This window comes from Homo sapiens, chromosome 7 (genome assembly GCF_000001405.40).
Source record: "Homo sapiens chromosome 7, GRCh38.p14 Primary Assembly".
Classification (NCBI taxonomy): Eukaryota; Metazoa; Chordata; class Mammalia; order Primates; family Hominidae; genus Homo; species Homo sapiens.
Genome location: NC_000007.14, coordinates 6329411 through 6349257, shown reverse-complemented (window position 1 = coordinate 6349257; position 19847 = coordinate 6329411). Strand labels below are relative to the sequence as shown.

The 19847-nt window shown below is 48.4% G+C and overlaps 2 protein-coding genes across 2 annotated transcripts, besides 3 other annotated features; both read left to right on the top strand.

Moving 5' to 3' along the window:
* Positions 199–698: an enhancer, noted in NCBI's record as "H3K27ac hESC enhancer chr7:6388191-6388690 (GRCh37/hg19 assembly coordinates)". NCBI's record gives its function as "activates a minimal SCP1, AML or CMV promoter by ChIP-STARR-seq in primed H9 embryonic stem cells {active_cell/tissue: H9 hESC(primed)}" and the evidence as "EXISTENCE:reporter gene assay evidence [ECO:0000049][PMID:30033119]".
* Positions 291–19847, top strand: FAM220A (family with sequence similarity 220 member A). Its single transcript, NM_001037163.2, has 2 exons — positions 291–685; positions 18023–19847. Exon 2 carries the CDS (start codon positions 18104–18106, stop codon positions 18881–18883), a length of 780 nt encoding a protein of 259 aa, NP_001032240.1. The 5' UTR covers positions 291–685; positions 18023–18103; the 3' UTR covers positions 18884–19847.
* SMIM10L3 (small integral membrane protein 10 like 3) lies at positions 291–19847 on the top strand. The gene is made up of 2 exons (NM_001395995.1): positions 291–685; positions 18023–19847. The coding sequence occupies exons 1-2, from the start codon at positions 500–502 to the stop codon at positions 18041–18043; spliced, it is 207 nt and encodes a 68-aa protein (NP_001382924.1). The 5' UTR covers positions 291–499; the 3' UTR covers positions 18044–19847.
* Positions 311–640: a silencer, noted in NCBI's record as "silent region_17940". NCBI's record gives its function as "represses an Ori minimal core promoter by ATAC-STARR-seq in GM12878 lymphoblastoid cells {active_cell/tissue: GM12878}" and the evidence as "EXISTENCE:reporter gene assay evidence [ECO:0000049][PMID:35858748]".
* Positions 699–1200: an enhancer, noted in NCBI's record as "H3K27ac hESC enhancer chr7:6387689-6388190 (GRCh37/hg19 assembly coordinates)". NCBI's record gives its function as "activates a minimal SCP1, AML or CMV promoter by ChIP-STARR-seq in primed H9 embryonic stem cells {active_cell/tissue: H9 hESC(primed)}" and the evidence as "EXISTENCE:reporter gene assay evidence [ECO:0000049][PMID:30033119]".

The window sequence follows — 19847 nt, the reverse complement described above, 5'->3', positions numbered from 1 at the left end:
ACAGGCATGAGCCACCGCGCTTGGCCTACTGCAACCATTTTTAAATGTATAGTTCAGCGGCGTTAAATACATTCACTTTGTCTGCAACCGTCGCTACCGTCCATCGCCTCCCTTTGTCTTCATTTTCAGACTCACCAGTAGGGGGCGGACGGAGACAGCGCATCAGCCTCGACCCCCACGCCTCCTCTCCCGCGCATGCGCGTCTTACCTGCCAAAAAGAAAGGTGGCAAGGGCGTGTCCAGGGGCGGGGCCTGTGGGCCGCGCAGGCGCGTGGCTGGCTTTGTGACGTCAGGCTGCGCGGCCAGGCTGGTACAGGCGGCTGCTCGCGGAGGCACTTCTCCGAGCGTGACGTGCGGACTCCGCTCCACTGCGGCCCGCCCGCCCGCCGGTCTAGCCGCCGCCTCCTTCGCTCCCTGAGCACGCCAGGCGAGGGTCAGCTGCCGGGGCGACGCGGCGCGGAGAGGGCGGGCGGGGGGGCTGTGGGAGCGCCGGTCTCTATATGGCGGCGGCTCTGTCGGGCCTGGCTGTCCGGCTCTCGCGCTCGGCCGCCGCCCGCTCCTATGGGGTCTTCTGCAAGGGGCTGACTCGCACGCTGCTCATCTTCTTCGACCTGGCCTGGCGGCTGCGTATCAACTTCCCCTACCTCTACATCGTGGCTTCCATGATGCTCAACGTCCGCCTGCAGGTGGGTGAGCCGTGCCTGCCCGGCCCCCGGCCCTCCCCGAGCGCCCGCCTCGCCCGCGGGATGCAGACGCCACGGCAGCTGCCACTGCCTAGAAGCTGAGTGTATGTCAAGCACCGTGCATTTTCCCGTGCGACCCTACTTTGGGGAGATCCACTGAGGTGGTCCTTATCCCCGTTCTGCAAACGCGGCACTGGGGGTCAGGTTAAGCGACTTGCCTTGGGGAAGGTCCCGCAGCTCGGGAGGTGGGGTCCGAGACTGCATGGGCTGGAAAGGTGTTGAAGAGGACCTTTATTAAATGTTGGGTGAATTTTCTAGTTCCCAAACTTTGCAACCCCCCCCCTTATTTTTAATTGTAAAGACGGGTCTCGGCCGGGCGCGGTGGCTTACTCCTGTAATGCACTTTGGGAGGCTGAGGCGGGCGGATTACCTGAGGTCAGGAGTTCGAGACCAGCCTGACCAACACGGAGAAACCCCGTCTCTACTAAAAATACAGAATTAGCCGGGCGTGGTGGCGCGTGCCTGTAATCCCAGCTACTCGGGAGGCTGAGGCGGCAGAATCGCTGGAACCTGGGAGGCGCAGGTTGCGGTGAGCCGAGATCGCTCCATTGCGCTCCAGCCTGGGCAGCAAGAGGGAAACTCCATCTCAATAATAATAATAATAATAATAATAATAATAATAATAATAATAAAGGGGTCTCGTTATGTTGCCCAGGCTGGTCTCGAACTCCTGGCCTCAAGAGATCCTCCCATCTTGGCCTCCCAGTGCTGGGATTATAGGCATGAGCCACCACATCTGGCCTGCATAGACGTTTTATGTTATCCTTGAAGCTAAAAATGGATTGGAAGTTAACAGCGTTTTGATAAATGTACCGTATTTTGGCCAGAGGTGGAACTGAGTTGTGAGGGTGAAGACCAGGGAAAATAAAGTGGAAGACGTGGAAGCACAAAACGTCTCAGAGGCCTGGAACCATTCAGCTGATCTTAGAGTATGCTCACACCCCAGCACCCTGGAGACCGCCTTTGCTGTAAAAAATTGGTATCTCTTTTTTTTTTTTCCCTGAGACAGAGTCTTACTCTTGCCCAAGCTGGAGTGCGGTGGCGCCATCTCAGCTCACTGCAACCTCTGCCTCCCGAGTTCAAGCGATTCTCCTGACTCAGCCTCCTGAGTAGCTGGGACTACAGGTGCCCGCCACCACGCCAGGCTAATTTTTGTATTTTTAAGTAGAGTTGGGTTTTCACCATGTTGGCCAGGCTGGTCTCAAAATCCTGACTTCAAGTGATCTGCCCGCCTCGACCTCCCAAAGTGCTGGGATTATAGGCGTCAGCCACAGCGCCCAGCCAAGAGACTGATATTTCTACATCCCTTGAATTCCAGTTGCCTTTTTCTTTCTTTTATATTTTCCTTTTTGGTAGAGACAGGGTCTTCCCATGTTGCCAAGGCTGGTCTTGAACTTCTGGCCTCAAGTGATCCTCCTGCCTTGCCCTCCCAAAGCACTAGGATTACAGTCAGAACCCAGTGAGCCCAGCCTCAGATGACTTTTTCTAGTGGAAGGAAAGGTTGTCAACTCGAGAATTCTTTCTCAAAGAAAGCTGGCCAAGTCCTGAGCCCCTCTTGCATTCCATTTGCATACCTCTGTGCTGAAGGAGGGACCCTCCTTTGGGGAGTTTACAGTTGGACGGTCCTTGGGTTGCTCCCTGGCGTGCAGAATGAACCAGTCTGAGCAGTAGAACCACCACACTGCAGGTGCCGTCCCTTTCTAACGTCGGTTTGGCCATATCAAAGTATGATTGTCCCAGTAGCAGGTCTTCAGGTGGCTGGTGCCTGACACAGGTGATGGTAATTAACATGAAACCTAACACCGGCTGTTGATCCAAATTGAGTTAAGATGGCTGGGCACAGTAGCTCACTCCTGTAAGTAATCCCAACACTTTGGGAGGCCAAGGTGTCTGCGTCGCTTAAGCTCAGGAGTTTGAGACCACCCTGGGCTACAGGGTGAAACCCTGTCTCTACTAAAATACAAAAAATTAGCTGGGCGTGGTGGCCGGGCAGTGGTGGCGTGCACCTGTAGTCCCAGCTGCTTGTGGGGCTGAGGTGGGAGGATCGCTTGAGCCTGGGAGGCAGACGTTGCAGTGAGCCGAGATTGTGCCACTGCACTCCAGCCTGGGCGACAGTAAGATTCTGTCTCAAGTAAGTAAATGAGTTGAGATTAACTGGCCTCTTTATTTTGAGGTCCAAATTGAGGTACTGTCATGTGATCAAGGGCTTGTAGCATTCTGAAATTATACCTGATTAGAGGGGTCAAAACCTCCACCAGGTGGCTTGAATTGAGTGAAGGGTGCTCCTGTGTCAGTTCAGGGGACTGGTAAACGAGAAGGCCTGAGCCCTCCCCAGTTACCACCTTCGAAAATAGGGGCCCAGTATTTGCCGTATCTAGTCAGCACCAAGAGAAATCAGAAGTCAAGATTTTTAGATTTCCAATCCGGATTTTTAAAAAACAAACTTTGGCTGGGCATGGTGTCTCATGCCTGTAATCCCAGTATATTGGGAGGCTGAAGCAGGCGGATCACTTGAGGTCAGGAGTTTAAGACCAGCCTGGACAATATGGCAAAACCCCATCTCTACTAAAAATACAAAAATTAGGCAGGTGTGATGGTGCACGCCTGTAATCCCAGCTACATGGTAGGCTGAGGCAGGAGAATCACTTGAACCCAGGAGATGGAGGTTGCAGTGAGCCAAGATCACCCTACTGCACTCCAGCCTGGGAAACACAGCGAGACTCTGTCTCAAAAAAATAATAATAATAACCACCACCAAAAAAACAGATTTTAAAAAAAGAAACTTTGAGGGCAAAACAAAAAGTGTCTACAGGCTGTATTTGGCTCCTGTACTCCCCTTTTTGTCTAGAGTAACGTAATTTGCAGTCATTTGTAAAAATCACAAGAATGGCTATAAGAGAAAACCTGCTACATGATGCTGTTTTGGTGAAAATTGGTATGCTCTTTACCATTGAAACAGTTACCTTTTTCATATATCTGCTTCTCTATTTATAACCACCTCTCTAGTCTACCCTACTGTATCCACTCGCCTGGACTATTGTAGTATCTGCCATCTCCACCAAGCAATCAGAGGCAACTTCTAAAAAACAAATCAGATCGAGGGCTGGGTGTGGTGGCTCATGCCTATAATCCCAGCACTTTGGGAGACTGAGGTGGGAGGATCACTTGAGCCCAGGAGTTCCAGACCAGCCTGGGCAACACAGCAAGACCCCAGTCTGTACAAAAAATAAATTAGCCGGGTGTCGTGGTGCGTGCCTGTAATCCCAGCTACTTGGGAGGCAGAGGTGGGAGGATCGCTTGAGCCAAGGAGGCCGAAGATGCAGTGAGCCGTGATCATGATGCTGCACACCAGCCTGGGCAACAGAGTGAGACTCTGTCTCTAAAATTAAACAACAACAAGAAAAACACATAACCTCCCATAAATCTGATCATGTCATTTCTAAAAGAAAGCTAAACTCTGGCCGGGCGCAGTGGCCGGGCGTGGTGGGATTTACGCCTGTAAATCCCAGCACTTTGAGAGGCTGAGGCAGGCAGATCACCTGAGGTCAGGAGTTTGAGACCAGCATGGCCAACATGGTGAAACCCCATCTCTACTAAAATACAAAAATTAGCCGGGCATGGCGGCATGCGCCTGTCATCCCAGCTACTTGGGAGGCTGAGGCAGGAGAATTACTTGAACCCTGGGAGGTGGAGGTTACAGTGAGCCAAGTTCGTGCCATTGCACTCCAGCCTGGGCAACACAGTGAGACTCCGTCTCCAAAAAAATAATAATAAAATTTAAAAAAAAGAATTGAGTGGGCCAGGTGCCGTGACTCAACCCTGTAATCCCAGCACTTTGGGAGTCCAAGGTGGGAGGATCACTTGAACTGAGGAGTTTGAGACCAGCCTGGGCAACAGGGCGAAACTCCGTCTCTACAAAAAATACAAAAATTAGCTGGGCGTGGTGGTGCATGCCTATAGTCCCAGCTACTTGGGAGACTGAGGTGGATCACTTGAGGCCAGAAGGTCGAGGAGGCAGTGAGCTATAATTGTACCACTGTACTCCAGGCTGGGCAACAGAGCAAGACCCCGTCTGTAAAAAAAGACACAAGTGTGAAGATTGTAGGCTTGGGCTTGACCAAGTGCAACAAGCAGCCATGTCACATCATGGGGGTGGGGAGTGGGGTGTCTGTCTTCTTGGCCTTGATATTTACCTCTGCTACTTTAAACTCCCCTGCAGGTTTTAGAGTTTTTGTTCATTTGTGAAAAAACACTAACTTACCTGATTTGAAGGTTTAATTTTTGTGGCTTTCTGGTAAAGGGAGGTACAACAGGAAATAGAATCTGAAGGAATAAGGGGGACAGCCCCACGCCTTTTTTTTTTTTTTCTTGTTCTTCAGAACATGCTTTACCCTCGCTTGAGGCCAGGAGCTTGAGAAGCCTGGGCAACATAGTGAGACACCATCACTACAAAACATTAAAAGTTAGTTGAATGTAGTGGTGCATGCCTGTAGTCCCAGCTACTTGGGAGGCTGAGGTGGGAGGATCACCTGTGCCTGGGAGTTCAAGGCTACAGTAAGCTATGATCCCACCACTGCTCTCCAGCATGGGTGACAGAGTGAGACTAAAAAGAAAAAGCCATACCCATCCTCTTCATTGCAGGAATGTTAGAATCTGTTTCATGAGTAATAAGGCCTAAGGAACTCCATTTTCCAAATTTGTTTAGGGAGCCCCTCCTCCCTAGATCTCTAGTTTGTAGGGCAGTGAGGCATTTTAAGGAGGTTAATACCTCTTTAGGATGAAAGATGATTAAATGAGAAAATGATGCAGACAGTTGTATACTGAGAATGGTTATGATTTTAAAATACTATTTGCAAGCAAGCCTTAATCTCCTGGAGTTCTTAGCATCCTTCTTATTTATACAGAATCTGAAATACAAGGCAGTTAAATGGAATCAATACCAAATACTAAATTTAGTAAAAGCAAGATTAAAAATGGTACTGTGAATCTGCTATAATTTAACAAGTCATGCCTACAACTTTTCAGTTATATGGCCTGTGGGAAGAACGAAGTGTTTCTTAGTCCTAGATCATATATATATATATATATATATATATATATATATATATATATATATATGAAATTATTATTATTTTTTTGAGACGGAGTTTCACTCTTGTGGCTCAGGCTGGAGTGCAGTGGTGTGATTTTGGATCACTGCAACCTCCGCTTCCCAGGTTCAAGCGATTCTCCTGCCTCAGCCTCCTGAGTAGCTGGGATTACAGGTGCCTGGTACCACGCCCAGCTAATTATTGTATTTTTAGTAGAGACGGGGCTTCACCATGTTGGCCAGGCTGGTCTTGAACTCCTGACCTCAGGGGATCCACCCTCCTCGGCCTCCCAAGGTGCTGGGATTACAGGTGTAAGCCACTGCACCTGGCCAATTTTTTCTTTTCTTTTCTCTTCCTCTTTCTTTCTTTCTTTTTTCTTTTTTTTTTTTGAGAAAGCGTCTTCCTCTGTCATCCAGGCTGGAGTGCAGTGGTGCGATCATAGCTCACTACAGCCTCCAGCTCCTGGACTCAAGCCATCCTCCCACTTCAGCCTTCTGAGTAGCTGGGGCTACAGGCATGTGCCACCATGCCTGGTTGATTTTTTCATTTTGTTTCTAGATGGGGTCTCACTATGTTGCCCAGGGTGGTCTCGAACTCCTGGCCTCAACTAATCCTCCTGCCTCAGCCTCCCAAAGTGCTGAGATTACAAGTGTGAGCCATCATACCTGGCCCTGCTTAGTCTTTTGTTTTTGTCTTTTATGTCTTTCTATGTTGGACTTTTGGGTTGCTTTCACTTTTTGGCTATTGTGAATAATGTTACTACGAACATTTGCATGTAAGCTTTGTGTGGACATCGGTTTTTATTTCTCTTGGGTGTATACTTAGAGCAGAATTGCTGGATCATATGTAACTCCTCTAACCATTTCAAAAAGATCACTTTTTTTTTTGAGACAGAGTCTCGCTTTGTCACCCAGGCTGCAGTGCAATGGTGTGATCTTGGCTCACTGCAACTTCTGACTTCTGGGTTCAAGTGATTCTCCTGCCTCCCGAGTAGCTGGGATTACAGGTGCCTACCACCATGCCCAGCTAATGTTTGTATTTTTAGTAGAGTCGGGGTTTTGCCATGTTAGCTGGGCTGGTCTCCAGCTCCTGGGCTCAAGAGATCCACCTGCCTCGGCCTCCCAGAGTGCTGGGATTACAGGTGTGAGCCACCGCACCCAGCCTAGACACTGTTTCTATAAGACAGAAAGAGAGAGAGAGAAAGAGAAAGTAAGAAACAAAGAAAAAGAAAGAAAAAAGAAAGGAAAGAAAATGAAGCTTTAAGAAGAGACTGTCTGCTTGGTATACCAACCTAATACCAGCACCTAGAACAGCACCTGGCACCTGGCGTAGGGTAGGTTCTTAATGAGTGATTGCTCATTGAATGTGTGGCAGAAAATCTTTAGAATCTTGAATCAAAGGTTTTCAGCACTTGCAATTTTTTTTTTGAGATGGAGTCTTGTTCTTGTCGCCCAGGCTGGAGTGCAATGGTATGATCTTGGCTCACTGCAGCCTCCACTTCTCGGGTTCAAGTGATTCTCCTGCCTCAGCCTCCCAAGCAGCTGGGATTACAGGTGCCCACCACCATGCCTGGGTAATGTTTGTATTTTTAGTAGAGACAGAGTTTCACCGTGATGGCCAGGCTGGTCTTGAACCCCTGACCTCAGGTGATCTACCCACCTTGGCCTCCCAAAGTGCTGGGATTACAGGGGTGAGCCACTGCACCTGGCGCGCACTCATAATTTTTTTTTTTTTTTTTGACAGAGTCTTGCTCTGTGGCCCAGGCTAGAGTGCGGTGGCGCGATCTCAGCTCACTGCAAGCTCCACCTCCTGGGTTCACGCCATTCCCCTGCCTCAGCCTCCCGAGTAGCTGGGACTACAGGCTCCCACCACTACACCTGGCTAATTTAAAAAAAATTTTTTTTTAGTAGAGGCAGGGTTTCACCACGTTAGCCAGGATGACAGTGCTCATAATAATAATAATAATTATTATTATTATTTTTTTGAGACAGAGTCTTGCTCTGTCACCCAGGCTGGAGTACAGTGGCGCGATCTCCGCTCACTGCAAGCTCCGCCTCCCGGTTCACACCATTCTCCTGCCTCAGCCTCCCGAGTAGCTGGGACTACAGGCGCCCGCCACCAGGCCCAGCCAATTTTTTGTATTTTCGTAGAGATGGGGTTTCACCGTGTTAGCCAGGATGGTCTCAATCTCCTGACCTCCTGATCTACCCTCCTTGGCCTCCCAAAGTGCTGGGATTTCAGGGGTGAGCCACTGTGCCTGGCCAGCACTCATTTTTTTTTTTGGGACAGAGTCTTGCTGTGTCGCCCAGGCTGGAGTGCAGTGGCACGATCTCAGCTCACTGCAAGCTGCACCTCCTGGGTTCATGCCATTCCCCTGCCTCAGCCTCCCGAGTAGCTGGGACTGTAGGTTCCCACCACCACACCTGGCTAATTTTTTGAATTTTTTTTTTTTTTTTTTTTAGTAGAGACAGGGTTTCACCATGTTAGGCAGGATGACAGCTTTCATAATTTTTTTTTTTTTTTTTTTGAGATGGAGTCTCACTCTGTCGCCCAGGCTGGAGTGCAGTGGCGCCATCTCGGCTCACTGCCAGCTCCGCCTCCCGGGTTCACGCCATTCTCCTGCCTCAGCCTCCCGAGTAGCTGGGACTATAGGTGCCCACCACCACGCCCGGCTAATTTTTTGTATTTTTAGTAGAGACAGGGTTTTACCGTGTTAGCCAGGATGGTCTCGATCTCCTGACCTCGTGATCCGCCCGCCTCGGCCTCCCAAAGTGCTGGGAATAATCCCACCATGCCCAGCCAGCACTCATAATTTTTTAAGTCATTGTCAACCTGCCCTCCTTCGAGTCTGTTATCCTGAATTCCCTCCCTGGCAATGTTGGGGAAGCTGTGGGTGGTCTGTATTTGCCCTTCAGCCAACTCCAGGTGCAGCACGGCCTCCGTGCTTCAGCCGACTCCAGGTATGGCACGGCCTCTGCCCTTCTACTGAAGTGTACTTACCCATGTTGGGGCTGTGTCTGTACACACATGCAGTGGTCGCTTCTCCGTCCTCCACCGCACCAACCCTCTCAGCAGCGTTTTGTCCTTCCCTGAAACACTTTTGGTCATGATGATGATAGTAGCTGCTGTTGATTCTGATCGACAGCAGCTGGGATGCCCTTAGGATGCTAGTCAGAGAAGAGTAGTCAGAGAAGATTCTGGCTGCTTCTCATACATCGAATCTTCACAGAATCCTGGGAGGGGCCGGGCGCGGTAGCTCATGCCTGTAATCCCAGCACTTTGGGAGGCCGAGGCGGGCGGATCACCTGAGGTCAGGAGTTTGAGACCAGCCTGGTCAACATGGAGAAACCCCATCTCTACTAAAAATACAAAAATTAGCTGGGTGTGGTGGTGCATGCCTGTAATCCCAGCTACTCAGGAGGCTGAGGCAGGAGAAGTGCTTGAACCCAGGAGGTGGAGGTTGCAGTGAGCTGAGATCATGCAGCTGCACTCCAGCCTGGGCGGCAGAGTGAGACTCATGCTCCCTGCGGAAAGTCAGTTGCCTGACGCCGAGCTGGCACCCGGCCTCTGCACACTCTCCTCTCCTTGTGATCGCACCTGTGAGCATCCAGGGGACCGGGAGGGGGAGACAGGGCAGTGGTTAAGAGAGGGGTACGGCTGGGCACAGTGGCTCTTGCCTGTAATCCCAGCACTTTGGGAGGCTGAGGTGGGTGGATCATGAGGTCAGGAGATCGAGACCATGGTGAAACCCTGTCTCTACTAAAAATACAAAACATTACCCAGGCGTGGTGGCGGGCGCCTGTAGTCCCAGCTACTCCGGAGGCTGAGGCAGCGGAATGGCGTGAACCTGGGAGGCGGAGCTTGCAGTGAGCTGAGATTGCTCCACTGCACTCCAGCCTGGGCGACAGAGCGAGACTCCGTCTCAAAAAAAAAAACAAAAAAAGGGGTACACAGCTGGTTTTATAGGGGCAGATGATTTATTTTTTATGGAGATGGGGTCTTGCTATGTTGCCTAGACTGGTCTCAAACTCCTAGGCTCAAACGATCCTCCCACCTCGACCTCCTGAGTAGCTGGGACCACAGGTGTGTGCACCACACCCAGCTAATTTTTTAATTTTTTGTAGAGATGGGGGTCTTGCTGTGTTGCTCAGGCTGGTCTCCGGCTCCTAGGCTCAAGTGATCTCCCCACCTCGGCCTCCCAAAGTACTGGGATTACAGGTGTGAGCCACCACACCTGGCCATCAGGTGTGATTTAGACGTGCCAAGTGGCGAGTAGCAGGAACTCAGTGATGTTAGTGTGTTCCTTGTGATCATGATTCAGCCTAATTTAGAAGTGCTGTGGTCATTGCTGTTTCTCCTCCTCTAGGCTGTGTGGAAATCCGGGGGTTTGTTTCTGCTACCTCCAGTCTGATCATTTGGGCCATGAGCACAGTGAGTTAAGGTGTGCTAGCGTTCACACCTGAGGGGTGTGGAGCTGGCCCATCTGGGAGCGTGTGTGAGCTCTCCTTGCGTGCGGCAGTCCCTCAAGGCCCACCGCGGCCCTGCTGGTTTTAGCTGTGTCTTCTCCCCTTTGGGACTAGCCTTGCCAGACCTCTTTCAGAAACATTGGGGCCAAGATATTTTTAGTTTACAAAGCAACAGCACCGTCATGCCCTGGAGGCCAGGAATAGCTTGGGTTAGGGAAGGTGAGGGTACAGGCACTCATGAGGGCAACAGCTAAGTAGGTCAGGCCATTGTTGTCCGGCAGGTCAGCTGGGCAGGGATCTGCGAGGAAGGTGACCGCTCCTGTTGTGGTGAGGATCGGGTATACCTGGACAGCCTCGTTTCCCCTGGCACGGCGCCCCTGTGACCTCCCTGGCTTTGTGTTCAGCTTTTGTCATCTTTGGTGGGAGGCAGAGGGAGGTATAGGCTGCAAGATTTACCCTCTGGAACCCAGGGCTACACTTTATTTTTCCTGAACCATGCTTTCTTGAAGACTCCTTCCATCATTCTGGTGGTCTCAGCTTTGGTAGCTACCTTTGTTTGTAATACCATCATTTACACTGTTTTTTAAATTTTGTAGGATTAACATGGCATGAGGAGGCCAAAAAGAGCTGATTTTGTATACACTTAGGCATATTTTATCTGGTACAATATATCTCTAGCATACTGAGAAAAAACTATGAAAAAACTCATAAATGACTTAAATATGCCTAGAAATTATTTAGAAGTTATTTGTGGCCCTCAGAATACAGGTAATATGTATAACAGTCTAATACCAGAAGAGGTTAGTTGAGGGCTGTGAGCCAAAATGTTTTTGATAACCTGTTGAAGTCTTTTTGTGGCTGGGCATAGTGGCTCACGCCTGTAATCGCAGTGCTTTGGGAGGCTGAGGCAGGTGGATCACCTGAGGTCAGGAGTTCGAGAGCAGCCTGGCCAACATGGTGAAACCATGTCTCTACTGAAAATACAAAAATTAGCTGGGCGTGGCAGCTGGTGCCTGTAGTACCAGCTACTTGGGAGGGTGAGGCAGGAGAATTGCTTGAACCTGGGAGGCGGAGGTTGCAGTGAGCCAAGATTGCACCACTGCACTCCAGCCTGGGTGACAGAGCAAGACTCTGTCTCAAAATAAATAAATAAATAAATAAATAATGTATTGAAATCTTTTTGATGAGAGAATTAAATAGTTTATTACTGAATACTAAAGTACTAGAAGAACTTCAGGGGACAATTTATTCTATCATGATTGAATACATGTTTACCTTATTAAATGAATTTTTTTATGTTTCTGAGTTATAAAATAAGTGATTACTAATGGTACCTTATACTGCGTTAGTTTGCTAAGGAAATGAAAAAAAATAATGGTACTGTATTTAAAGTACTTTAACACAATTCTAGAAATGTTTCACCTTTCTGAACAATGCTAAATCCTTGTACAAGGACTTACTAAAAATGGTTAGAAACTTAATTTTTCTGAGCACTGTCCCATATTATATGACCTGTTTTTCTTGAGAATTAAAATACTGGGCGGGCGCAGTGGCTCACGCCTGTAATCCCAACACTTTGGGAGGCTGAGGCGGGTAGATCACCTGAGGTCAGGAGTTAGAGACCAGCCTGGCCATCATGGTAAAACCCCATATCTACTCAAAATACAAAATTAATGGGCTGGCAAGGCTAGTCCCAAAGGGGAGAAGACACAGCTAAAACCAGCCAGGGCCATGGTGGCATACACCTGTAGTCTCAGCTACTTGGGAGGCTGAAACAGGAGAGTCGCTTGAGTGCGGGAAGCAGAGGCTGCAGTGAGCTGAGATTGCGCCACTGCACTCCAGCCTGGGCGAGACAGAGAGAGACTCTTGTCTCAAAAAAAAAAAAAGAATTAAAATACCTATTTCAACATATATTGAAATATATTTAGGAATCCTTCCGTTTAAGGATAATGTTCATACTTAGCACATTTTCATCAGCAAAATAAATGTAAGGTTTGAAAGAATATGGCCAGCCATGGTGGCTCACGCCTGTAATTCCAGCACTTTGGGAGGCTGAGGTGGGCGGATCACTTGAGCCCAGGAGTTCAAGACCAGCCTAGGACATGGCAAAACATTGTCTCTACACAAAATACAAAAAATTAGCTGGATGTGGTGGCACACACCTGTGGTTCCAGCTGCTTGGGAGGCTAAGGTGAGGTGATGACCCAACCTTGAGGAAGTCGAGGCTGCAGTGAGCCGTGACTGTGCCATTGCACTCCAGCTTTTTTTTTTTTTTTTGGACAAAGTCTTGCTCGCTCTCTCAGGCTGGAGTACAGTGGTGCCATCTTGGCTCACGGCAGCCTCTGCTTCCTGGGCTCAAGTGATTCTCGTGTCTCAGCCTCCTGACTAATAGCTGGGATTATAGGCATGTGCAACCATACCCAGCTAATTTTTGTATTTTTAGTAGAGATAGGGTTTCCCTGTGTTGGCCAGGCTGGTCTCAAACTCCTGACCTCAAGAGATCTGCCTGCCATGGCCTCCCAAAGTGTTGGGATTACAGGCATGAGCCACCGTGCCTGGCCTGTATTCTTTTATGTGGTTCATATATATACAGTTTTTTCTTTTCTTTTTTGAGTCACAGTCTTGCTCTAATTGCGCAGGCTGGAGTATAGTGGTGTGATCACAGCTTACTGCAGCCTTGAGCTTCTAGGCTCAAGCAGTCCTCTCCTACCTCAGCCTCTCAAGTGACTGGGACTACAGGTGTGCACCACCACCCCCAGCTAATCTTTTAATTTTTTTTTTTTTTTTGAGGCAAAATCTCACTCTGTTGCCCAGGCTGGAGTGCAGTGGTGCTATCTTGGCTTACTGTAACCTCCGCCTCCCAGGTTCAAACGATTGTCCTGCCTCAGCCTCCTGAGTAGCTGAGACCACAGGTGTGCACCACCATGCCCCATTAATTTTTGTATTTTTAGTAGAGACGGGGTTTCACCGTGTAGACCAGGCTGATCTCGAACTCCTGTCCTCAAGTGATCCATCCGTCTTGGCCTCCCAGAGTGCTGGGATTACAGGTGTGAGCCACTGCTCCCGGCCACTCTTTTAAAATTTTTTTGTAGAGACAGGGTCTTGCTGTGTTGCCCAGGCTGGTCTCACACCCCTGGGCTCAAGCCATCCTTCTGTCTGTGCCTCCCAAAGTGTTGGGATGACAGGGCTGAGCCACTGCACCTGGCCTGGTTCAAATATATTTTAGTGAATTATATAGAATAATGGTCACAATTCTATCAGTAAAAACTTTTCAGCATGTCCCACAAGATATATATAAGTATTCATAAAGTGTATATTTTGCTCACTCAGAATATGATACATATTATAAAACATAGAAAATGTTAAAAGGGAGAAGAAAGAAGAATGAACTAAACCAAGACATTTTAATATTTTCTCACATATTAACGGCTAGGCTGGGCACGGAGGCTCACACCTGTAGTCCCAACACTTTGGGAGGCTGAGGCGGGCAGATCACCTGAGGTCAGGACATCAAGACCAGCCTGGCAACATAGCGAAACACCATCTCTACTAAAAATACAAAAACTAAAATTAGCCAGGCGTGGTGGCGGGCGCTTGTAATCACAGCTACTCAGGAGGTTGAGGCAGGAGAATCACTTGAACCCAGGAGGCAGAGGTTGTAGTGAGCCGAGATTGTGCCATTGCCCTCCAGCCTGGGCAACAAGAGCGAGACTCCATTTAAAAAAAAAAAATAGCTGGGCATGGTGGTGGGTTCCTGTAATCCCAGCAACTTGGGAGGCTGATGCAGGAGAATCGCTTGAACCTAGGAGGCAGAGGTTGCAGTGAGCTAAGATTGCACCACTACGGTCCAGCCTGGGTGACAGAGTGAGACTCTGTCTCAAAAAATAACCACTGGCTGGGTGCGGTGGCTCACACCTGTAATCCCACCACTTTGGGAGGCCAAGGCGGGTGGATCACCTGAGGTCGGGAGTTTGAGACCAGCCTGACCAACATGAAGAAACCCGTCTCTATTAAAAATACAAAATTGGCCAGGCGTGGTGGCACATGCCTATAATCCCAGCTACTCAGGAGGCTGAGGCAGGAGAATCACTTGAACCCAGGAGGTGGAGGTTGCAGTGAGTCGAGATCGTGCCATTGTACTCCAGCCTGGGTAACGAGTGAAACTCCATTTCAAAATAACTAACTAACTATCCAGGCTGGGCGTGGTGGCTCACGCCTGTAATCCTAGCACTTTGGGAGGCCAAGGCAGGTGGACTGCCTGAGCTCAGGAGTTTGAGACCAGCCTGGGCAACTCGTGGAACCCCATCTCTACCAAAATATAAAAAATTAGCCGGGCGTGGCGGTGTGCACCTGTAGTCCCAGCTACTCAGGAGGCTTAGGCAGGAGAATTGTTGAACCCAGGAGGCAGAGTTTGCAGTAAGCTGTGATCCTGCCACTGCACTTCAGTCTGGGTGACAGAGTGAGACTCCATCTTTTCTTTTTTTGAGACAGAGCCTCTGGGACTCAAGCTGTTCTCCTGCCTCACCCTCCCGAGTAGCAGGGACTACAGGCATGCTCCACCATGCCCAGCTAATTTTTGTATTTTTAGTAGAGATGGGGTTTTACCATGTTGTTCAGGCTGGTCTTGAACTCCTGACCTCAGGTGATCCACCCAGCTAGGCCTCCCCAAGTGCTGGGATTACAGGCGTGAGCCACTGCGCCCAGCCAGTCAACAACTTTAAAAAAATACTTTAGCTGGGTACAGTGGTACACACCTGTAATCCCAGCTACTCAGGAGGCTGATGTGGGAGGAGCACTTAAGAGACCAGGAGTTCGGCTGGGTGCGGTGGCTCACGCTTGTAATCCCAGCACTTTGGGAGGCCAAGGTGGGCGGATCACGAGGTCAGGAGATAGATTCCATCCTGGCTAACATGGTGAAACCCCATCTCTACTAAAAATACGAAAAATTAGCCGGGCGTGGTGGCGGGTGCCTGTAGTCCCAGCTACTTGGGAGGCTGAGGCAGGAGAATGGCGTGAACCCGGGAGGTGGAGCTTTTAGTGAGCTGAGATGGCGCCACTGCACTCCAGCCTGGGCAAAAAAAGAGCAAGACTCTGTCTCAAAAAAAAAAAAAAAAAAAAAGAGGCCAGGAGTTCGAGACCATTCTAGGCAACATGGGGAGACCCTGTCTCTATTAAAAAAAAAAAAAAGACACTTGTTCTTCAAGTCACCTACTTGGATCTCTTCGAAGTGCACTTTCCTTTCTCACTCTAGAGCTTTGTAATAAACTTCTGTTCCTGCTCTGAAAAAAAAAAAATTTGCCAGGTGTGGTGGTGCCTGCCTGTAATCCCAGTGACACAGGAGGCTGAATTAGGAGGATTGCTTGAGCCCAGAAGTTACAGGCTGCAGTGAGCTGTGATCACGCCATTGTCCTCCAGCCTGGGAGGCAGAGTGAGACCTCGTCTCAAAAACAGCAACAACAACAATATGAAACTTTAGTCTGTCCCTCCTTATGATCACAGCCTTCTTTCTTTCTTTTTCCTGCTCTGTGGAACAGCCTCCTAACTAGTGTGTCTATTCTGAACCATTTGCAGTCTGTCCATCACAGTGTAGCCAGAATAATTTATCTGAAATGCAAATCCAGCCATCCTGTCCTTGCTGAAGCTTCTCGGCTGGCTCCAATCACCGGCTCCCTGTGACATGGCCCGAGGTCTCTTTCTCTAAACTCTCCCTGCTTTCTCCTTCAGCCTCTAATAATAACTGCATCCTTCATTTTCTCCCCAGTGTTTTTTTGTTTTTTGTTTTTTTTTTTTTGATTTTTTTATTTGGGATGGAGTCTTGCTCTGTCGCCAGGCTGGAGTGCAGTGGTGGGATCTCGGCTCACTGCAACCTCTGCCTCCCGGGTTCACGCAATTCTCTCGCTTCAGCCTCCCTGGTAGCTGGGATTACAGGCACCCGCCAGCACGTCTGGCTGTTTTCTATTTTTGATAGAGACAGGGTTTCACCATGTTGACCATGCTTGTCTCGAACTCCTGACCTCATGATTTGTCCGCCTTGGCCTCCCAAAGTGCTGGGATTACAGGCATGAGCCACTGCGCCTGGCCAAAATTTATAACAAATCTTAATGCGGTTATACATCCATTTAGCATTAAGAGTCTCCTAGTTCCATAAGATTAGAGAAACAGCAGTTTCCTACCTGCCATTTCTCCATCCCCGTCAGCCACTTTCAGCTGTAGCTGATCCTTTCAGTGTTGCTGCTCTTTAATTTTAATTTTTATTTTTTGAGACAGGGTCTGACTCCATTGCCCAGGTCAGAGGGCAGAGTGACTCGATCTCAGCTCACTGTGACCTCTGCCTCCCAGGCTCAAGCAATCCTCCCACATCAGCCTCCTGAGAATCTGGGACTATAGCTGCTGAGTTTATAAGCATGAGCCACCACGCCTGGCTGAGGGTGGTGGTGTTTTTTAAGTGAACACATCATGTGTCAAAATTACATTTAACGTGTCAATTAATAAGGGAACTAATATGATGTTACAACCAGTTTAAAGGAAAATTCAGACAACACTCAAAAGTGAGTTTACAGATAGATGCAAAGCTGGTCAGTATCCATAGGGCAGTAATCAGTACATTCCATGAGACTAATTTAATTAGTTTAATTAAACTAATTAGACTATTTTCTTTGGACAGGAACTTTTTTGCCTTACTCTTAAGGTTTTGGGCAAATGACAGAGTTGTAAAGCAGCTCAGAGACAATGAAGGTGCTGGTCCCTATAAAATTACATAACCTGAAGGATGCACTAGGTAGCATGCCCAGTCATGTTATTTTTTGTTCATTTCAAAGCCTTTTCGCAATTTTTTTTTTTTTTTTTCCGTGAGATGGAGTCTAGCTGTCGCCCAGGCTGGAGTGCAGTGGCATGATCTCGGCTCACAGCTACTTCCACCTCCTGGGTTCAAGCGATTCTCCCACCTCAGCCTCCCAACTAGCTGGGATTACAGACACCTGCCATCACACCTGGCTAATTTCACCTGGCCAACATGGCGAACCCTCATCTCTACTAAAAATACAAAAAATGAATTAGCTGGGCATGGTGGCAGGCACCTGTAATCCCAGCTACTCAAAAGGCTAAGGCAGGAGAATCGCTCGAACCTGAGAGGTAGTGGTTGCAGTGAGCCGAGATCGTGCCATTGCACTCCAGCCTAGGCAAAAAGAGCGAAACGCCATCTCAAAAAAAAAAAAAAAAAAAGCCTCTATTATTTGCTAATTTGAGGGTGGGGAACTAAGCCCACGAAATGTTCTCCACTAGGCCGGGCGTGGTGGCTCACGCCTGTAATCCCAGTACTTTGGGAGGCCAAGGCGAGTGGATCATGAGGTCAGGAGATGGAGACCATCCCAGCTAACTTGGTGAAACCTTGTCTCTATTAAAAATACAAAAAATTAGCGGGCTTGGTGGCATGCAACTGGTCGCCCAGCGTGGGCGACAGAGCAAGACTCTGTCTCAAAAAAACAAAAACCTTAATACGGCTGGGCATGGTGGCTCACACCTGTAATCCCAGCACTTTGGGACGCTGAGGTGGGTGGATCACCTGAGGTCAGGAGTTCAAAACCAGCCTTACCAATATGGTGAAACCCTGTACTGGAGACTGTCATAAAGATCTCAGTGTTTGTTAGGAAATATTTGGTGGGTGTAGATGCTCTTAAGACCCATGTGTCTTCATTTTAGAACTTTAATTTGATTCCCTTTCCTAGGTTCATATTGAGATCCATTGAAGGCCCTCCCAGACTGACGAAGGCGTGACCTCAGGCCCACCGCATCCAAGAACACGAAGCATGAGGGACAGAAGAGGGCCCCTCGGCACCTGCCTGGCACAAGTGCAGCAGGCCGGAGGAGGTGACTCGGACAAACTATCATGCAGCCTTAAGAAAAGAATGCCGGAGGGCCCTTGGCCTGCAGATGCACCCTCCTGGATGAATAAGCCTGTGGTTGATGGAAATTCACAAAGTGAGGCATTATCACTGGAAATGAGAAAGGATCCGAGCGGGGCTGGCCTCTGGCTTCACAGTGGCGGCCCAGTGCTTCCATATGTGAGAGAATCAGTAAGAAGAAATCCAGCCTCAGCAGCCACTCCGAGCACAGCCGTGGGTTTGTTCCCTGCTCCAACAGAGTGTTTTGCTCGGGTGTCCTGCAGTGGTGTTGAAGCTCTGGGGCGGCGAGACTGGCTGGGAGGAGGGCCCAGGGCCACTGACGGCCACAGAGGACAGTGCCCCAAAGGAGAGCCTCGGGTGTCACGACTGCCACGCCATCAAAAAGTGCCGGAAATGGGAAGTTTTCAGGATGACCCACCAAGTGCTTTTCCCAAGGGTCTGGGCTCTGAGTTGGAACCCGCTTGCCTGCACTCCATCCTGTCTGCAACGCTGCACGTGTATCCCGAAGTGCTCCTGAGTGAGGAGACAAAACGCATTTTCCTTGACCGTTTAAAGCCCATGTTTTCAAAGCAAACAATAGAATTCAAGAAAATGCTTAAAAGCACCTCAGATGGTCTGCAGATAACACTGGGGTTACTGGCTCTGCAACCTTTTGAATTAGCAAATACATTATGCCATAGTTAAGGTACAAGCAGAACAATACCAATAGATTAATTTTAAGAGTTGTCTTAGAATGATTTCTTTCGCATTAAGTCTGGATGCAAACTGTGCAGCCCTTAGGTTCCTGCTGTAGTTTTGTACGACCTGGCAGACTTAAAGTAAATTGAGTTTAAATTCAAAGCCAGTTGATGCGGAAGGAACTTTTTTGGCATGTGTTAAATTGTGCTTTAAAAGACATATAAAGAATTGGGAAACATTTCAGGAGACGATCATAGCCTGTATAAATACCAGATTAGAACATACGGATTTACCATGAAGTTCTGTCTTCAACATCCATTCTAAAGGGCTACTGTCCCAAATCCTGTGTGTCCTTTTGACTTGTCTGATCACCCAATGGAAGTGGATACTTGTAAAGTCTACACCACTGTACTTGGCGTTAAATCTTGCTGAATTCGTGGTAAGCTGTTACCATGTCTACATTTTGTAGAATGATTTTGGTCTGCAGCAAAATTCGATTTCACTTCTCATACCCCTTTCCTTCCACTTGAAATGCAATTTAGACAGAGGCCCTGTGGTGAAAGTTGCAATATTAAGTTTACCTTTAGAAGATCCCTTCTCAAACTCAGAACCCTAGCAGTGTTACCTTAAACAAAAATGAGCTCGAGAAAAAAGTAGCTCAGTTACAGAGAAGCAAATCGAGTTATTTCCCACATAAAAAGTTTCCCAGATTCTAAGAATTGCAGTATCCTGTACCCTAAAATTTTTCAAGGTGACTCCTGTTGTCGTCTGTTGATAACTTTAATAAAGGTCATTTAAGGACATAAGTTTTTAAAGACTCCCAAAGTGAAACTTAAACATTTTCGGGATTATCGATTGCATATATCAGTTTATGCTGTGTGCTGAATTACTATGCCATGTGCTATTTTAGTGTTTGGGGAAAATGAAAAATAAAATTTGTTCTTTAGCTTAATAAATATGTCTTATTTTA